The 17,700-nt window shown below is 43.8% G+C and overlaps 1 protein-coding gene across 3 annotated transcripts, besides 6 other annotated features; it reads left to right on the top strand.

The window, feature by feature from the left end:
- The first annotated feature begins 473 nt into the window (after positions 1-473).
- ABRACL (ABRA C-terminal like) lies at positions 474-15,031 on the top strand. 3 transcript variants are annotated; one of them, XM_047419197.1, is made up of 4 exons: positions 828-1,041; positions 5,478-5,584; positions 5,884-5,950; positions 14,448-15,031. In XM_047419197.1, exons 1-4 carry the CDS (start codon positions 882-884, stop codon positions 14,630-14,632), a joined length of 519 nt encoding a protein of 172 aa, XP_047275153.1. In that variant the 5' UTR covers positions 828-881; the 3' UTR covers positions 14,633-15,031. The 3 variants fall into 3 exon arrangements, with proteins under 3 accessions (NP_067066.1, XP_047275153.1, XP_016866640.1); NM_021243.3 differs by lacking the exons at positions 828-1,041; positions 5,478-5,584 and adding an exon at positions 474-604; XM_017011151.2 differs by lacking the exon at positions 5,478-5,584.
- Positions 638-797: a silencer, noted in NCBI's record as "silent region_17603". NCBI's record gives its function as "represses an Ori minimal core promoter by ATAC-STARR-seq in GM12878 lymphoblastoid cells {active_cell/tissue: GM12878}" and the evidence as "EXISTENCE:reporter gene assay evidence [ECO:0000049][PMID:35858748]".
- Positions 1,058-1,427: a silencer, noted in NCBI's record as "silent region_17604". NCBI's record gives its function as "represses an Ori minimal core promoter by ATAC-STARR-seq in GM12878 lymphoblastoid cells {active_cell/tissue: GM12878}" and the evidence as "EXISTENCE:reporter gene assay evidence [ECO:0000049][PMID:35858748]".
- Positions 1,058-2,257: a biological region, named in NCBI's record as "Sharpr-MPRA regulatory region 12009".
- Positions 1,321-1,615: an enhancer, noted in NCBI's record as "tiled region #12009; K562 Activating DNase matched - State 4:PromP". NCBI's record gives its function as "activates a minimal TATA promoter and a strong SV40 promoter by Sharpr-MPRA in K562 cells {active_cell/tissue: K562}" and the evidence as "EXISTENCE:reporter gene assay evidence [ECO:0000049][PMID:27701403]".
- Positions 1,438-2,257: an enhancer, noted in NCBI's record as "NANOG-H3K27ac-H3K4me1 hESC enhancer chr6:139350846-139351665 (GRCh37/hg19 assembly coordinates)". NCBI's record gives its function as "activates a minimal SCP1, AML or CMV promoter by ChIP-STARR-seq in naive H9 embryonic stem cells {active_cell/tissue: H9 hESC(naive)}" and the evidence as "EXISTENCE:reporter gene assay evidence [ECO:0000049][PMID:30033119]".
- Positions 1,477-1,667: a silencer, noted in NCBI's record as "fragment chr6:139350885-139351075 (GRCh37/hg19 assembly coordinates)". NCBI's record gives its function as "represses an EF-1alpha promoter that drives an FKBP-Casp9 reporter gene in an ReSE screen in K562 erythroleukemia cells {active_cell/tissue: K562}" and the evidence as "EXISTENCE:reporter gene assay evidence [ECO:0000049][PMID:32094911]".
- Positions 15,032-17,700: the final 2,669 nt, after the last annotated feature.

Consider the following 17,700-nt stretch of genomic DNA (forward strand, 5'->3'; position numbering starts at 1 on the left):
TCAACAACTATCTATGTCCAAGTAAAATTTCTTTGCAGTCTGACAAATTGGCTTTCAAGATTGCATTTTGTTTTGCGAATTAAGCCATTTTTAAGTCATGAGTCGTAGTTTTCTGGAGGCCCCCGGCATCCGGAACCCATGAATGCCACGTTCTTTCTAGCAGCCTTCAGCAATTTGAGGGCGCTTTGTTTCTTACGTTGGGAGAGAAATCCATCAGGAAATCGACGCCCAGGATCAGATGCAGATCCTGGGATCCTTGGCTCTGAGTAGCACGGTGGAAAAGTGAGGTAATCCAGGCTCTGGGCCCGTTTTCCTAGGAGCCCAGGGCGCTTCACCTGTCTGCAGTCAGCCCCTTTCTTGGACGTCTCCTCCCCTGAGTTTCCTCCTCATAGGCTTGTCCCTGGGAGTGTGGGCGGCCCCTTTCTTGAGCGCAGAAACACTTACTTTTCCCCCTACCCTGCTCCTCCTCCTCCACAGCCGTCTTTCTCTTTGCCTCAGCCACTTCCTTCCTTGGCCTCACCCTCCCCAGTGCACTGAAGAAGGTAACCGGGTCCAGACCCACGCGGCGCCAGTTCTCCGGCGGGAAGGAAAACCGCGCAGAGAGGTGCGTGAGCGCCCGGGCAGATGTGGCTTAGGTAGCAGGGATGGACTGGGTGTCCGTGGTGCGCCGCCGGGCACCGCGGGCTGCGGTGAGAGTCGGGTCAGGAGGGGGCCGGGAGGGGGCTCAGGGCGCGCGGAAGCTGCGACCGGCTGGGCCGAGACCTCGCGGGTTGGGGTCCCGTGGGGCGCGCGCCGCCCACGCCCCCACCTCTCGGGTCGACTTCCGCACTCGGCTCACGTGACGTTTCGCCGGCCGGGGGCGGACTGGGAAGCCGGCAGAAATGGAACGATTTTTACCGCGGTGCGACGTGTCGGCTTTGCACTTGGCGGTGGTTCAGGAGCCAGTTCTGCAGAGCTGGGTGGGGAAGGGCTGGGGGCGAGAGGAGAGGCTGCCCCGAGGAACGTGGTGGCCTCAGGGCAGTGGACTCTGCAGCGCCGGAGGTGGGTGCGGCTCTGTGCGCTCCAGATCAGGGGGTGCAGAGTCGTGAGGGGACACCAGGGGCTCGTGGAGCCCGGGGCAGGGTCCGTTTTCGTCGCCCGGGTTGGGTGCTCGCTCTCGCGGCGCTTCGGGGCGCCCGGGCCACGGGGGAGGCAGACCCGCGGCGCCGGGCCGGGAGCTGCGGAGACAAAGACTTCCGGGACGCGGCCCTTCCCGGGCGCCAGCGGTGCCGCCCCGCCACGGGGGGCCCAGCCCCGCGCTCCCCAGCCCTGCACTGGTGCCGGCGGTGACCGTGTGATGATGGGCTGCAGGGCACGGGGTTAGGGGACCTCTACCAGGCAGAACCCCAAGCTGGTAGCAGAATGGCCAAATATGGAGTGAGCGCGCCCCAGACCGGAGGGAGTAAGGAGCCCAGTCACCCTTTGACCCGCACCAGCTGCTTGTCCGCGATTGCGAAGAAGGGCTGGGAAAACGTGCCCAGCCCGAGTGTGTAAAGTTGGTTCCTGATTCCGGACATACCTATTCCAGTAGGCTTTATTTCCTTGGATATTAGAAAATCTCCATGCATTGCCTCCAAACTTTTGAAAAATAACAATGCCCTGAGGGTCCTTAAATACATTCTAAAGTGTGTATTGGTGGTGAGTTTCGGGTTCTGCCCAGTCCTCCGACTTTCCGCTTCCTTTGTGTTTCCCACGCACAAAGCCGAAATCGATTCTGCGACAATTAGAGTGCCTGGCCGTCATCTACCTCGCCTTCCCTGGAGCCTTTTCCTGTCTTCTGGTCCAGCCGCTCACCATTAAGCTCTTCCCTTTAGACTTGCTCTGCTTCTCACCTCTCCTCATTGTTCTTTTCTTTTTTTTTTTCTTAGACATAGTTTCACGGTACTCGTGAGAATGTGTTACATTCGTATAACCAAATCAGGGTAATTGGTATATCCATCACCCTAAATATTTATCTCTTCTTTATGCTAGGAACATTCAACTTAACTTGCTTTTAGCCATTTGGAAGTGTACAATCCATTAATGTGAACTATAGTCACCCCACTGATCAATGCAACACCAGGTCTTATTTCTTCTGTGTTTATACCCATCAACCTCTCTTCACCCTCCGCCCCCTTCATTGTTCTTCATCTTGCTCTCTGCAGTCCTGGGATTCTGTCCTTATTATAAAAGGCCATGGGTCTTTAAAGGATTGTGTCACAATAGGTATTTTTCCCCCTTTGTCCCTCTCCTTCCTAAATAATAAATAAATAAAACGTCAAATTATGTATGCTAGCAATTGTTTTTAAACCTGTTATTTTCCTATTTATGGTGGTCTGGGCAGGGAGCCTTTCTTGCTTTGTAAGTGTTCTGCCTTGGTAAGAGCTCAGCATGTCACGTTTCATACAAATACCACTCACTATTATATTTAGTGTATTTGCATAATGGCAAAAGAGGAAGAGGAAGCGGGGAAACAGCCACCACGATGTGGTAGAGACAGCATTTAATTGTGGGGCATTAACCCCTGTTTCGTTATCCTTAAAATAGAGGTAAATAAATGCCTTGCAAGGTTCTTAGAACTACATGAATTAACGTAGATAAGGAGCCTGATGTGTAATTAATTATAAAGAAACGCTGGTTGCCTTTCATGCTTAAAATTGGATGAACGTACATCTGCTTACTATAATGCAGGTATGCGTACTATATATAATAGATGAATTTCCCCTTTGATGCTCATTATTCAATGAGAGCTAAGTCTGAAGTATGTTGCTGGAGGTGGGAGGAAGGAGCGAAGAAGGGTGTTAAAGAGATAACATCTTTCCGGGGTCGGGAATCAGAGAATCAGAGAATTGGAAAGTTCCTTAATTTCTTTGGACATTTTCATTCTCCCTCTGTCCAGTACAGGCTAATTTCCTCATCATCCCTCACAGATCCTTACTATGTCTGCATTAATATTTCTAGGAACAGGGTGCAAACTTTATTCATTGTTGGGCAATTTTAATTGCTAGATAACTTTTTTATATGGCTCTCAAATCTGCCTTTCTATTACACTTACCCATCCTACCCAGTAGAGGAACACAAAGACTATTCATATAAGTACATAAAAAAGAGCTTTAGTTTTTTTTGTTTTGTTTTTAAAGCAGCAGTTCTTCTCTAAGCTAACTTTATGGGTCAAGATTCTTTAGAGTGCAAGTAATAGAAACTCAATCAAACCAACACAAGCAAAAAGGAAAGATACCGGTTCATGTAGTTGGAAAGTCCAGGGTCATATATAGGCTCAGTCATTGTTATATGGCTGGACATTTCTTTGTGTTAGCTTTACTCCTGGCAAGCTGTTCTCACATGGTGGCCATTGACATCAGGGACTATAAACTAATATCATAGAACCCAGTGAAAGGAGAGTGTCATTTTACTAATAGTTCTAGCAAAATCACAGGGCTGAACCTCATTGTTCTGGATGGGCTCAGCTACGTCATGCCTCAAACCAATCATTCTGGCCCTGAACTGCTTCTGGGCCCAGGGTAAGACTCTACCCAGGATACATGGGTTTAGCATAAGGAGGGAAAGGCTTTATCCAAACAAAACATAGACTGCTGGTGCCAGAATGGGAAATGGGTGCTGGGCAGACAAAACAACAGTTGCCCACCACACTGCTATTAATAGTTTTTTCCCACTTTTTTTTTTTTTTTGAGACGGAGTCTCGCTCTGTCGCCCAGGTTGGAGTGCAGTGGCGTGATCTCGGCTCACTGCAAGCTCCGCCTCCCGGGTTCACGCCATACTCCTGCCTCAGCCTCCCGAGTAGCTGGGACTACAGGCGCCCGCCACCACGCCCGGCTAATTTTTTTTTTGTATTTTTAGTAGAGACGGGGTTTCACCGTGTTAGCCAGGATGGTCTCGATCTCCTGACCTCGTGATCCACCCGCCTCGGCCTCCCAAAGTGCTGGGATTACAGGCGCGAGCCACCGCGCCCGGGCTTTCCTACTTTTATTCTCATGGCATGGTGTTCAGGCCTCGTGCCTGTGTACTCTGTGTATATTTTCGCTTTTTAGTCTTGAATTGCATATAATGTTACAGATATGACTTCACCAACACAAAGTCCTCAATATTTGAACACTATAAATTTTCATATTAAGTTTTATGAAGATGCATTTAATTGAATATTTTGCGTTTTATTGCAATCTAAGCTTCTTAAATTATAATATTCGCACAAGCAACAGAGCAGATGGTAGTGGCACTTTTAATAATTAGCAGATAGAAAATCTAGTGTCCCAATCAATATCATGTAAGCAGGTGGTATATAGTCATAGGTGTCACTCTTGTTTTTAACAGCTAGCAAGAATTAGTTACAATCCATCTGGATAAAGTTGTTTCTTCCAAATTATCACCCCAAAGGAAACCATACACACAACTCCCCCTTTTTGGTCTCTTATATGATTTGAAAAAATTATGATTTGAAAACAGACTGAACTGATGCATCTTCTACCCAGTTGCTCATACTTCCTGACATCCTGCAGGTGTACTTCCAATCCCTCTCATGCCTTTGCGTGTTCTTTTCAGTTCATGAGGTCAATATTTCTTTACCCTCTACTCTTAGTGCCAGACATGATAGAGCAGTGAGCATTATAGTCAGATCCCTGCAGAGGGGAGCTTACCCTGTAGAAGTGAAAGTCCAGAAATGTAATTCCAATTAAGTGAAATGAAGAGGGGCACCCGGTGCTATGGGAACACACAGTGAGGGAGGTGCTCCTCCTCCACGGTTTCAGGGAAGGCTTTTATTTAAGCTGGAGCAGGATGTGTGTGAATTAGCTCCTGGAAGGAGGAATAGCTATAGTCTGGGTTGAAGCCACAGTATGTGTGAAGGCTGGAGGTGAGAGAGCAAGGGGGCATTTGAGAGATTAAAAAGTCCCACATGGCTACAGCCTAGAGTTCAAGGGGGTGGAAGAGGCTGGAACAGTGTGCGGGACCCAGCTCGTGGAGGACTTAGTGAACCAAGGTAAGGCTCAGCTTTTGTTTTATTCTGAACTCCTCCTTATCTGCAGATGAATGAACTTCACCGTGAGCTATTTATTGCAATCGGATTTACTGGGCACTGCCCAGAGAAGGCCATGACGTCCCTGTACGTCACTGGATTGACCGGATGGTATTAAAATTGCTGTTGTATTGATCTGCCTCCCCCACTAGACTACAGGCTCCTGAAGGGCAGGGAGTGTTTGTCAGTTCATTCTGGGGTGCCCAGCCCCCAGCTTAGGCCTGCCTCAAGTGTGCCGTGTGTTTTCTCCTTTGTTGCCTTGCTTTGTGTATGCACTTCCTCCTGTGTAGAGTGCCCTACCCCACCAGTCTGGCTGGACCAGTCCTCCCCAGTGACCTCCAGGAAGCCTCCTGCTGCTTCCTCCTTTGTGCTTCCATATGCCTTGGACCCACCACTCAAAGAGTATTCGTCTCATTGCTCTTCATTGCAGGCCCTCATCTGCCTTTAGAATGTGAGATCCCCGAGGGCAGATCCTGTGCTACACACCTTTTGTATTTTTGGTGCCTGGCAGGATACCATGAAGAGGACCTACGCATAGTGAATCGTGGGTGCAAGGAGAATGGCTGTAGTGAATCGTGGGTGCAAGGAGAATGGCTGTATTCTCCCCCACAGACGTGGAGAATAGGAGTGCAGGGAGCTGAGGGGGCGGTTACAAAGGTAGAGGGAAAATGGGGACACTTCAGTGCCACATGCATCACACAAATATTTTTAGGAAAAGGAACATGGTAAATTAATAGTGACAGACGCGACCTGAACAAGACAAAGGGCTCTTGGATTTGGATGTGCTTAATGGAATGTAATGGTGATAATTTAGACTTCCTTTTTTTCTCTCCCAGGCAGCAATGAATGTGGATCACGAGGTTAACCTCTTAGTGGAGGAAATTCATCGTTTGGGTTCAAAAAGTAAGTATCTGACAGAGATAGAGTATTTCTCCTGGCTTTACCTTGGAACAGGTGAGACTGGCATGCTGGAGAAGCCTATGAAGGGGTCACCCAGGGCTTCAGGACACAGGTCTGGGAGCTCTGCCCACAGCCCCAGGTTATAACTGCCCTTAGCCAGGAATTGACATCTGGAGACACGGGGCTTTTGGGGTATTGTGATTCTGATGCAGGGAATAGTTGAGATATTTCATTATTTTTCGATAGAAAGCAAATTACCAAGCTTCTTGTATTTGACTGCATTGAAATTTGGTAATTGAATCATGTTCAAATTTTTACTTGTCATACTATTAAAATTCATGTTTTCTGCCTTGTTCTGCCATCATTTTACAAACTTCTTTTTTTTCAAATCATCTTATCTAAAATATCATCATTTTACAAACTTCTAAATGACTAGGGATTTACATTGAAATTATACTAAATTATACTAAATTGTCTTTATTTTCTCCAAATCTTGAGTTTTGTATAATCAGATATTAAGTAATGTAACTAAAATAAATCATCCTTTAGGTAGTGTTTAAGAAAAATTATCTTTTTCTTCAGCAATAACTAGGCAGCTTCCTTGAAGATAGTGACATGCAAAATTGGTAGTGTTAGTGTCTTCTTCCTAAGTCGTAATGAAAATTACTATTATACTTGCGGCTTTAGGTATTTGGTACATCTCAGATGAGATATGCAAGAATTTGGGGGGCATTTTGAAAATAATAAGAATAATAGACATATTCAGCAACAACTAGGATAATAGAACTCGAAGTTTTAAAATTACATCATGTAAGTGAAAAACAGTTCTAGAAAGTACCTCACAAGCTCTCAAGATTTGTGTCATTATAGTTTGATTCTTCTTAAAGCACTATCTGTTCCTGAATCACAAATCCTTTGAAGTAACAGGACACACTTGGAAAATTCCATTAAGCCATTAATATCAAATGTCCCCTGCAGTGGTTTTCTGTTCCTGCTGTAACAGATTGCCACAAATTTAGTGATGTAAAACAACACATTTAATATCTTAAGAGTTCTGTAGGTCAGGAGTTTGACAACGGTCCTGCTGGAGTAAGATTAAGGTGTTGGCCGGGGACTCCTTTCTATAGGTTCCAGGAGGGAATCAGTTTCCTTGCCTTTTCCAGCTTCTAGAAGTTGCCTTGGCTCATGACTGTGTTTCTCTGTCTTCAAAGCGAGCAAGAGCTGATTGAGTCCACACATTGCATCATACTGACATCCTCCACTTTTAATTCTTTTTTTTTTCGAGAGAGAATCTTACTCTGTCACTCAGGCTAGAGTGCAGTGGTGCAATCTCAGCTCACTGCAACCTCCGCCTCCCGGGTTCAAGCGATTCTCCTGCCTCAGCCTCCCAAGTAGCTGGGATTATAGGCACCTGCCACCACGCTCAGCTAATTTTTATATTTTTAGTAGAGATGGGGTTTCACCATGTTGGCCAGGCTGGTCTTGAACTCCTGACCTCAGGTGATCCACCTGCCTCGGCCTCCCAAAATGCTAGGTTTACAGGTGTGAGCCACCACACCCGGCCTAGTTTCTTGTATTTTTATTAGAGATGGGGTTTTACCAGCCAGGCGCAGTGGCTCACGCCTGTAATCCCAGCACTTTGGGAGGCTGAGGCGGTTGGATCATGAGGTGAGGAGTTCGAGACCAGCCTGGCCAACATGGTGAAACCCTGTCTCTACTAAAGATACAGAAAAAAATTAGCCAGGCATGCTGGCATGTGCCTGTAATCCCAGCTACTAGGGAGGCTGAGGCAGGAGAATCGCTTGAACTCGGGAGGCGGAGGTTGCAGTGAACCAAGATTGTGCCACTGCACTCCAGCCTGGGCAATGGGGCAAGACTTTGTCTCAACAAACAAACAAACATAAAAGAGATGGAGTTTCACCATGTTGGCCAGGCTGGTCATGAACTCCTGGCCTCAAGTGATCCACCTGCCTCGGCCTCCCAAAGTGCTGGGATTACAGGTGTGAGCCACCGTGCCTGGCCTGCCTCCTTCTTCTGTTTTAAGGACTTTTTGGATTACACTGGGCTCACCCAGATAATCTAGGATACCTTCCTGTCGTAGGGTCCTTAATTGAATTGCATCTGAAAAGTCCCTTTTGCCATGTAAGGTAACATACAGATTCTAGGGATTGGTACATGGATATCTTCGGGGGCCTTTATTCTTCCTACTATTCCCTCTTTTTTGTCTTAGTCACTCTATTTCTATATCAAACCCGAGTCGTCATTACTGAAATGTACCAAGAAATGATAAATGAGGCATATTAAAGCTGGTATGGACTCTAAGTCCATACCTAAGTTAGTCAACAACTGAGTTGAATCATATCAGTTAATACTTATTGAGTATCTATATATGCTAATAACTGTGTAGTACAAGTGGTATAAAGTGTGTTCCTTTTCCTCAGGGATTTTACTACTTAGTTGATGAAAACAGATAAAATCTCATAGTCCAGGTGCCATGGCTCAGGCCTGTAATCCTAGCACATCAGGGGGCCAAGGTGGGAGGATCGCTTAAGCCCAGGAATTCAAGACCAGCCTGGGAAACAAAGTGGGATCCCATCTCTACAAAAAAATAAAAAATTAGCCAGGCATGGTGGCATGCAACTGTGGTCCCAGCTATACTGGAGGCTGAGGCAGGAGGATTGCATGAGCTCAGGACGTCGAGGCTGCAGTGAGCCGTGTTCAAGCCATTGCACTCCACCCTGGGGGACAGAGTGAGACCCTGTCTCAAAACAAAAACAAAAACAATAAAAAACTCATGAGGCAATTATCCGAAAAAAAAAATGGTATGCTGAACTATGAAGTGCTGACATGCAATATGGTCCCTTCAAAATAGATTATTGGAAGTTGTAGTAGTTGGGGGCACTCAATGAAGTCTTGCATCTCAGGTAGGACTTTGAAGTGGAGGGCAGGTCAGTTTAGGGGGAAATCCATGAGTTGGTTTTTGGAATGGGAATGAATGTATTGTTTGAAGAGAACACCGAGAAGACATTGGAAAATATAATTTATTTAGTTTCTTTTTTGAGATGGAGTCTCACTCTGTTTCCCGGGCTGGAGTGCAGTGGCACCATCTTGGCTCACTGCAACCTCTTGTCTTCTGAGTGCAGGCAATTCTTGTGCCTCAGCCTCCCTGGTAGCTGGTATTACAGGTGTCCACGACCACGCCTGGTTAAGTTTTGTATTTTTAGTAGAGATGGGGTTTTGCCATGTTGGCCAGGCTGGTCTCGAACTTCTGGCCTCAAGTCATCCGCCTGCCTCAGCCTCCCAAAGTGTCGGGATTACAGGCGTGAGCCACTTCATCTGGCCATAATGTATTTAGTTTCCTAATCAAAGAAATCAACAGTCTTCCCTAACTCAATTTTTCTCCCACGCATTTCACCACACCCACTTGATGGAGGCCTGATGAGTCTTATTTTCCATAGTGATGTCCCTCCTGTTCCTCCTCCCACACTCCTGATTTTTCCTGAGCTCAGTGAGGTCATGTTACTCTTGGCAGCATTATTATTGTTTTTTTCTTTTTCTCTTTTTTTTTTTTTTTCTGGGATAGAGTCTTGCTCTGTCACCCAGGCTGGAGTACAGTGGTGCGATTTTGGCTCACTGCAACCTCTGCCTCCTGGGTTCAAACAATTCTCCTGCCTCAGCCTCCTGAGTAGCTGGGATTACAGGCATCTGCCACCACCCCCAGCTAATTTTTGTATTTTTACTAGAGACAGTTTTTCGCCATGTTGGCCAGGCTGGTCTCGAACTCCTGGCCTCATGTGATCCACCCGCCTCAGCCTTCCAAAGTGCTGGGATTGTAGACATGAGCTGCTGGGCCCAGCCGTGCATTACTATTGTTTGGATAGTTATAGGTGTTACAGGCATATTTCCAAAGATTTGTAGGATTTTCTTTTCTTTATCCATATCAGCCTAGTGTTTATTGGTCATATTCAATTAGTTTTTAAATTCTAACCTTTACATTACTAGAAGAGTGTCATTATTCTGGTAAGGCAAACTGAAATTCCACTTCAAAATTAGCAGCTTTCACATTAGAAGACTTAAGATAATTATCGTAACTTCTATAAGCATGGAAATACTTTTAATTTTGCAGCTTCATCAGGATACCTTGACTTTCTCATTCCTGGCAAAAGATGACTTATTGAGTTTGAAAGCATATATAGATATGTGTTATCTTTGAACGTGTTATGGTTAATTATTTAAGTTGTATCTGGAGTGATTTTGCTTTAGTCTACATATGATGTATGAGCTGAGGATGAAAACTGATGAATTTAGTTTTATCTTTTCATTGAAAGTCAAATTCCTTAAAGTCTCATTTTTCATATAGCGAAAAAAGATTAAATGGGGAGAGTGCACTTGGAAATTTAAATTCTTTCATTCAACAAATTTTTTTTAGTGTCCCCTTTGTGCTCAAGTGCTGGAGATGTAAAAATGAACAAAATTCCATCTCCATCTTTGAGGTCCTCTTTAGGTAGCTGAAAGACAGACAAACTGGAAGTACCTAGAGGGAAGTGATTAACATGGGCTGTAAAGTCGGACTCTCTGGAAATGAATCCCAGCTCCTCTACATACTTGCTGTGTGACCTTGGCTACTTTACTAAACTTTTCTGTGCCTTGTTTTCCTTATTTGTAAAACAATAATACTCTATTTCAAGGACACATTTCTTCACATTAAAAAATCTCTAAAATAGGCCAGGTGTGGTGGCTCATGCCTATAATCCCAGCACTTTGGGAGGCCAAGGCAGGCAGATTGCCTGAGGTCAGGAGTTCGAGACCAGCTTGGCCAACATGGTGAAACCCTGTCTCTACTAAAAATACAAAAATTAGCTGGGCCTCGTGGCGGGTGCCTGTAATCCCAGCTACTTGGGGAAGCTGAGACAGGAGAATCACTTGAACCTGGGAGGCGGAGGTTGCAGTGAGCCGAGACCACACCATAACACTCCAGCCTGGGCAACAAGAAGGAAACTCCATCTCAAAAGAAAAAAAAAATCTCTAAAATAAAAATACATCTTATAGTACATGGCATGCTATGGTTAAATTGGCAGTTTAATTATAATATAAAATAATGATGCTTCTTGTAATCAATTGTGTCTTATCTTCCATGAAATACAGATTAAGTGAATTTTAATGACTGTAAAATACATCGAACAGTTCTGGATCATAGCAAGTACTCAATAAATGTTAGCTATTAATACTATAAATGATGGTGAGTGCTTTGATAGATATATACTCAGTTTTATAAGAAGAGCTATTCACTCAACTGAGTGGATCATGAAGGACTTCTAGAAAAGGTGGCATTTGAATTCATTCCTGAAGAAAAAGAATTTAGCTAGGAAGAAGTTTCTGGGTTTCTGGGCAGACGGCTGAACACGGGCACTGTTACAAAGGCAGAATCTGTCATATCATCTTAGGCACAGCAAGCAGTTCATTGTGACTGGATCAGGAGGTACATGCAGTGATATGGCAGAAGACCAGGCAAGTGATAGATGCAAGGCCAGAGGATGAAGAGCCTCTTCTGTGAGGCCATGGACTTCCCTTTATTTAGAAGGTCATAGGGAGCCATTGAAATATTAAAGTAGCCTTGATGAGGTGGCTCACACCTGTAATCCCAGCACTTTGGGAGGCCAAGGCGGGAGGATTGTTTGAGCCCAGGAGTTTGAGACCTCGTCTTTATTAAAAATAAAGATAAATTAAGTTTGGTGGTGCACGCCTGTAGTCCCAGCTACGTGGGAGGCTTGGAAGGCTCAAGAGGATCTCTTGAGTCCAGGAGTTCGAGGTTGCAGTGAGCTGTGATCACACCACTGCACTCCAGCCTGAGCAACAGATCGACACCCTGTCTCAAAAAAAGAAAAAAGAACCAAAGAGGGATTAAAGTAGAAGAGTAACAATGAGCTTTGCATCTCATAAAGTTTCTTCCACATTTTTTCTTCCACACCCATGTGGAGGATGTATTGAGGGGCAAAAATGCAGAAAAGGAGGCTGGTACAGAGTTCTCAGTCAGCAGCTTGCAGTGATGCATGTGAGAAACACTCAGGGCCTGAACCAAGGAATTAACTGTGATTGGAGAGGAGAGGCAGCAGCCACAGAAGGCACAAAGAAGGTGGAATCACCCAAACATTTGTCAGATTGAGGGGTGAGGGGGCATGAGAACTCCAAGATTACACTCAGGTTTCTGTCTTTGGTGCCTTTAAAAATTTTAACCAAAGTTGAGAATTTACTGTATGCTGGGGACTCTATAAGAGGCTTTATCTTTATTATGTCTGTTAATCCTTGCAACAGCCCTGTGAGAGGTATTTTTGCCCTCATTTGATGGATACCTGAAGTTCAGAGAGCTTGGAGGACTTGCCTGAGGTTACCAGCAGCTCCACTTCTACCTGTAATCAGTGACAGGTTCCTGTTGCACAGAGTGTCATGTAGGTAGAAATTGAAAAATCAAAGAGGTGCATCTTTGCTTTCCAGGCCAAACATGGTCAGATTCCCTGTTTTCCCTTTAGAACATCTTTTGTCCTCCTCATCTTAGATTATCTACTTCAGGTGAGTAAACTTCACGCTGGTCACTGTTCCCCCAGCCACCTTACTCGTTTTCAGCCTTGCCTGTGGCTTGGCACACTCTCCCCATTTGTCTCAGTCACAACAGAGCCCCTGGTTGCTGATACTCAGTGTGTGCTAGGCACTGTGCTGGGTGCTTTCGAACTGTGTCTCCTGGCAGCACTGAGAAAAAGATGTTCAGGTCCCCATTTTACACAGGAGGAAGCCAAGGCTTAGGGAGCTTTAAACAAGTTGCCCAAGGCCAAATGACTAGTAGATGGCAGAGATTTCAACTGAGGACTATTAGGTTTTTAAAAAGCTCATGTATATCATCACAATGAAGACGAGGAAAAAGAAAAAAGCTCCAAGTTATTGTCTCCTTTAAAGTCCAGAATAAGTACTGTCTCCTCCATGAAGTCTTCCTTACCATTCTTGCCCAAAGACATCTTGCCCTCCTCTAAACTGTAAAATATATTTTCTTTTTTTCTTCTTTTTTTTTTATGAGACAGGGTCTCAACTCTGCTGCCCAGGCTAGAGTGCACTAGCACGATCATGGCTCACTGCAGCCTCAAACTCCTGGGCTCAAACAGCCCTCTGCTTCAGCTTCCTGAGTAGCTGGGATCACAGGTGCATTCCACCAGACCCATCTCTCTCTCTCTCTCTCTCTCTCTCTATATATATATATATATATTTCTATATTTCTATATATATATATGTGTGTGTGTGTGTGTGTGTATATATATATATATATATTTTTTTTTAGGAGAGACATGGTCTGACTATGTTGCTAAGGTTGGTGTCAAACTTCTGGGCTCAAGGTATCCTCCTACCTTGGCCTCCCAAAGTGCTGGGATTACAGGCATGAGCCGTTGCACTCGGCCGGGATGTATTTTCTTTGCTTCTCATTTGGCATCCAATCACATACTGCTTTGTACTGTTGCTTTACTTGTTATGTGTATAGTTCTTATTTCCTCATGGGAATTGAAGTCATTGCTTTGAAAGCTAGAAAGTTATTCTCTCTAGAAAGTGATTCTCTACCTCCTTATGTCTGCCCCTAGTGTCTAACACAGTGCTGCGCTCACAGTAGGAGTTTGCCAAGCATCCAGTGGGAAGTTCTAGCCAGGGAGCATGGGAACTCAAGAACCTTTGGTCAAGGAATGGTCCTCCCCTCACTGTGATGGCCATCGTCTTGACAGTGGGTGTAACCTTGGAAGGGAAGAACCTGCAGTAGAGGGGTAGGAAGAGGTCAGGGATTCAGTCAAGTGGTCAAAGGAATCGCCCAAGGATAGGGAGGTGTCTCCCAGATTACCCTTGCCTCCAGGTTTTCAGGTTATTGATGTTTAACAACAGATCTACTTTTGGTCTATCTTAACTTTCAATGTATATGTTAAAAACTGGCCTCCAAATAAGATAATCTAGGGCTCATATGAAATACAGATTTCTGAGTCTACTACTGGGAATTCAGATTCAGTGGTCCTGATGAATGGCTGATGATTATACATTTTTAAGGAGCCCCCCACTCCCACCCTGGGGATTCCGAGTGTTCAGAACACACTTAGAGAAACACTGCTCTTGATCCTGGTTTTCTCTTTCATTTGTAGTGTTTATTGATTCAAAAACTCACGTAACAATTAACAAATAAAAATAGAGGGAGAGAAATTCATCTGCAGTATTAGCACTGTAGCACATTCAACTTTTGTAAATGTTGGTTCTCAGTCTTTGTCTGGATAATCCTAAGGCCAAGAGGCATATAGCATGTATTTATTCCATTACTTTTTGGATCAGGGAAGAGAATATGTTGAATTTATGACTGTTAAGTGTTAAATTGCAACCTTGGATAGCCCATAGTTATAAATTTATTAAAGATTTTGTAAGTCTTCCATACTTGAGGGTATGAAACAGACTTTGCATTTGCTAACAATGTATTTTCTCAAACTAGATGCTGATGGAAAGTTAAGCGTGAAATTTGGGGTCCTCTTCCGTGATGATAAATGTGCCAACCTCTTTGAAGCATTGGTAGGAACTCTTAAAGCTGCAAAACGAAGGAAGATTGTAACATATCCAGGAGAGCTGCTTCTGCAAGGTGTTCATGATGATGTTGACATTATATTACTGCAAGATTAATGTGGTTTACATATCTTTATGTACTGCCATTTTTTGTTTCTGGTAAACTGGAATATAAAGTGAAAGAACAAACATTTGAACATACTTAATGTATTTTTATAGAACTTTGTAAACGAAAGGAGATTCATGTTTTAGAAGTCTGTCCTTTTTTATATCTTGAAAGAAAATCTATGTATGATGCTATAAAATAAATCCTATTATTTTTCTCAGGAATCTGGTTAGGAATTGCAGGCAATGAGATTTTTTGCGGGGCAGGGATGGGAATGTTTGTTCATAAATAATTAGACATTTTCTATAGATATTTGACATTCTGCGAAAGCAACAAGCAAACTGAAGACCAACTCCTATGAGAAATATTATGATGTTTATGTAATAAAGACATGTAACTGTCTTAAATTTGCCTTATTTTGTCATTTAAGTATTTGTGTGCTTCTCAGAATTGAGTTTTTGCATCAAGATTAGGTAACTGCAGTAAAAGTTGTGTTACTCTGAAACAAATTCTCTCAAAACTACCAAATTTAAGTAATAGGAAGGGCTGGGCACGGTGGCTCACACCTGTAATTCCAGCACTTTGGGAGGCTGAGGCGGGCAGATCACCTGAGGTTGGGGGTTCGAGACAGCCTGGCCAACATGGTGAAACCCCATCTCTACTAAAAATACAAAAATTAGCTGGGCGTGATGGCACACATCTGTAATACCCACTACTCTGGAGGCTGAGGCACAAGGATCACCTGAACCCAGGAGGTGGAGGTTGCAGTGAGCTGAGGTCGCCCCACGGCACTCCAGCCTGGGCGACAGAGCGAGACTTGATCTCACAAAAAAAAAAAAAAAAAAAAAAGAGGAATGGTTAGTGTTATGGTTAGACCCTATACAAAATATTTATTTTGAGGCTGATTGTGTGCTTATTGCTGAGTTTGGGGACATGCCAAAAAATCTAACCTAAAAACTTCACATTCTAGTTGGGTTACACCCATCTGAAACAATATGGGATAATCTCTGATTGCATGTTACAGAATTTAACATGACTTGGAATGCCAAGGAGAATAAAAGCAGTGAAAGCCACAATGGCCAGGGGAGATATCCTGGAGGGGGCAGAACTTGCATGGAGGAATGATTGCAGCTGATTATCTCGAGGGAAAAAAAGATGGGATGATGAGGGTGATGACTGAAGGAAAGGCAGAAGGATACAAATTGGCAAGGCATGATCTCGTGAAAGGCAGGATATGAGGCCGACCAGAATGCTGGGGAGAGAGGTCGTTCATTGGACAATGAAAGTGGGACCTGGGAAATCAGGAAGAGGAATATGAACAGAAACTGGAGCCAGGACATTCCATGATGACAGTGATGTTTAGTGCAGATGGCCCTCACACTAGTGATTCAGGTGGATTGTAGAGAGTGAAGAAGTGGTCAGACAAGCCAGCTGAAATGTTGCTCAGGAATCTCATGGGGGTGACCATAACGCAAAGGCGGGGGAAGAATGAACTCCAAGCATGTTTTTAAAATCAAAGCCCTCTCATCTGTACTCTTTCTGCTGTGACAGGACCCCAATTCAAAGATCAAACATTAGAATTCACTGGCACTTGACGGTTATTGCTAACATTTATTGAGCATTTACAATGCCAATTCTCATATAACCCTGTGAGGTAGGTACTAATAGTACCTTCCATTTTATAGATGAGGTAAGTGAGGCACAGAAAGGTTAAGTAGCTTGTCCAAGTTCACCTAGGTAGAAAGTTGTAGAGTCTGAATTTTGAAATTGGACTCATCTAACTGGCAATTCCAGGGATGGCGTAGACTTTGAGCGTGGCTGGCTCCAGGGACTAAACAATGTCAAAACTCTCTGCCTTTCCATATTGGCTCTCATGCATTCTCTGGTTTGATCTCTTTCTACTGTAAATAGACTCCCTGCAGATAGCTGGGAAGATGCTGCTAGTAGTTGCAAATTCACTTATTTCTAGATTAGCAATTCTAGTAGAGGGAGCATTTATTATAATATCTAATTATGAATTCCAAGAAGGAAATTCTGATTGCTTCCACTGCAGTATAAACCTACCCCTTTGACCAATGGCATTTACCAAGGAGATGAGACACCATGAACTGACAGGCCACAGGTAACATGCTGGTTTCTCAGTGGGGATGGGGTGAGTTATTGTGCTTCACAACCTCATTTCAAATAAGAAAAGGGTAGTTTTCCAAAGGAAACGATGTTGGCTACATGGGAACGACATGGGTTCACTGTAGAAATAAGAGACCTTTTGAAGAATGAATCTTTACAATTATGTGGCAAAAAATGAAAAGGTGAATGAGAAGCGATGGTCAAAAGCTACCATCATATATGCCCTCAGTGACTGAGAGAATGATGAACTAATTAACAGAGGTGGGAAAATTGGATGGAGAAGGAGGGCTAGTTTCAGGGAGTTTGATCTGGGCATGGTAAACTTGAGGTACTTAAAGTAGAAATGTGTAGTAAGTAGGTGAGGATTTTCTTCTAGAACCCAGGCTAAGTAAAGGCATAGGAGTGTAGACAGAGACTTGGGAATTACGGTTCATGGTTGATTTTCACCTTAATTTTGATTTGTATAGATAATTCTACTTCTGACTCTCATTAGCATTAAATTGAAATTTTAATTATCAGGCACTTAGAAAACACAAAAGACAAACAATCTACAGGCTTTGTAAAAGTCTAGGCTGAGAAATTGAAGCAACCTTTAGATGGAAGCAATGTAGGAAGCCCAAAGACATCTAACAGAATTTTATGAGGCAGCTGACCTTGTGTAATCAAAAAGAATCTTAAAAAATCTATAGAAGTTGAAATTGTTAATCTGTCATGATTTGTTTAATGTCTTCTTGGCGAGCATCAAATGAAGTTTAGTTTTAACCCTTGATGATTTAACATTTAATGAACATCTTCCAGAAAAGGTATATTCATGTGATTGTTCAGTTATTGTAAGAAAACTGACAGAATATCATTTCTATCTACCATTGATATCCACGATACAGTTTTATGTATTTTCCTTTAGATTCAAGATGGTTAGTTCTTTGTATCAACTTCACATATACATAGTTGT

Source organism: Homo sapiens, chromosome 6 (assembly GCF_000001405.40).
Source record: "Homo sapiens chromosome 6, GRCh38.p14 Primary Assembly".
NCBI lineage: Eukaryota > Metazoa > Chordata > Mammalia > Primates > Hominidae > Homo > Homo sapiens.

Excerpts from the sequence above, each read along its gene's own strand:
- ABRACL (XM_047419197.1), top strand. The coding sequence starts at position 882 with ATGGAACGATTTTTACCGCGGTGCGACGTGTCGGCTTTGCACTTGGCG. Across the intron at positions 1,042-5,477 it reads TGGACTCTGCAGCGCCGGAG|GCCCTCATCTGCCTTTAGAA; the intron begins GTGGGTGCGGCT and ends TCTTCATTGCAG. Across the intron at positions 5,951-14,447 it reads TCATCGTTTGGGTTCAAAAA|ATGCTGATGGAAAGTTAAGC; the intron begins GTAAGTATCTGA and ends TTCTCAAACTAG.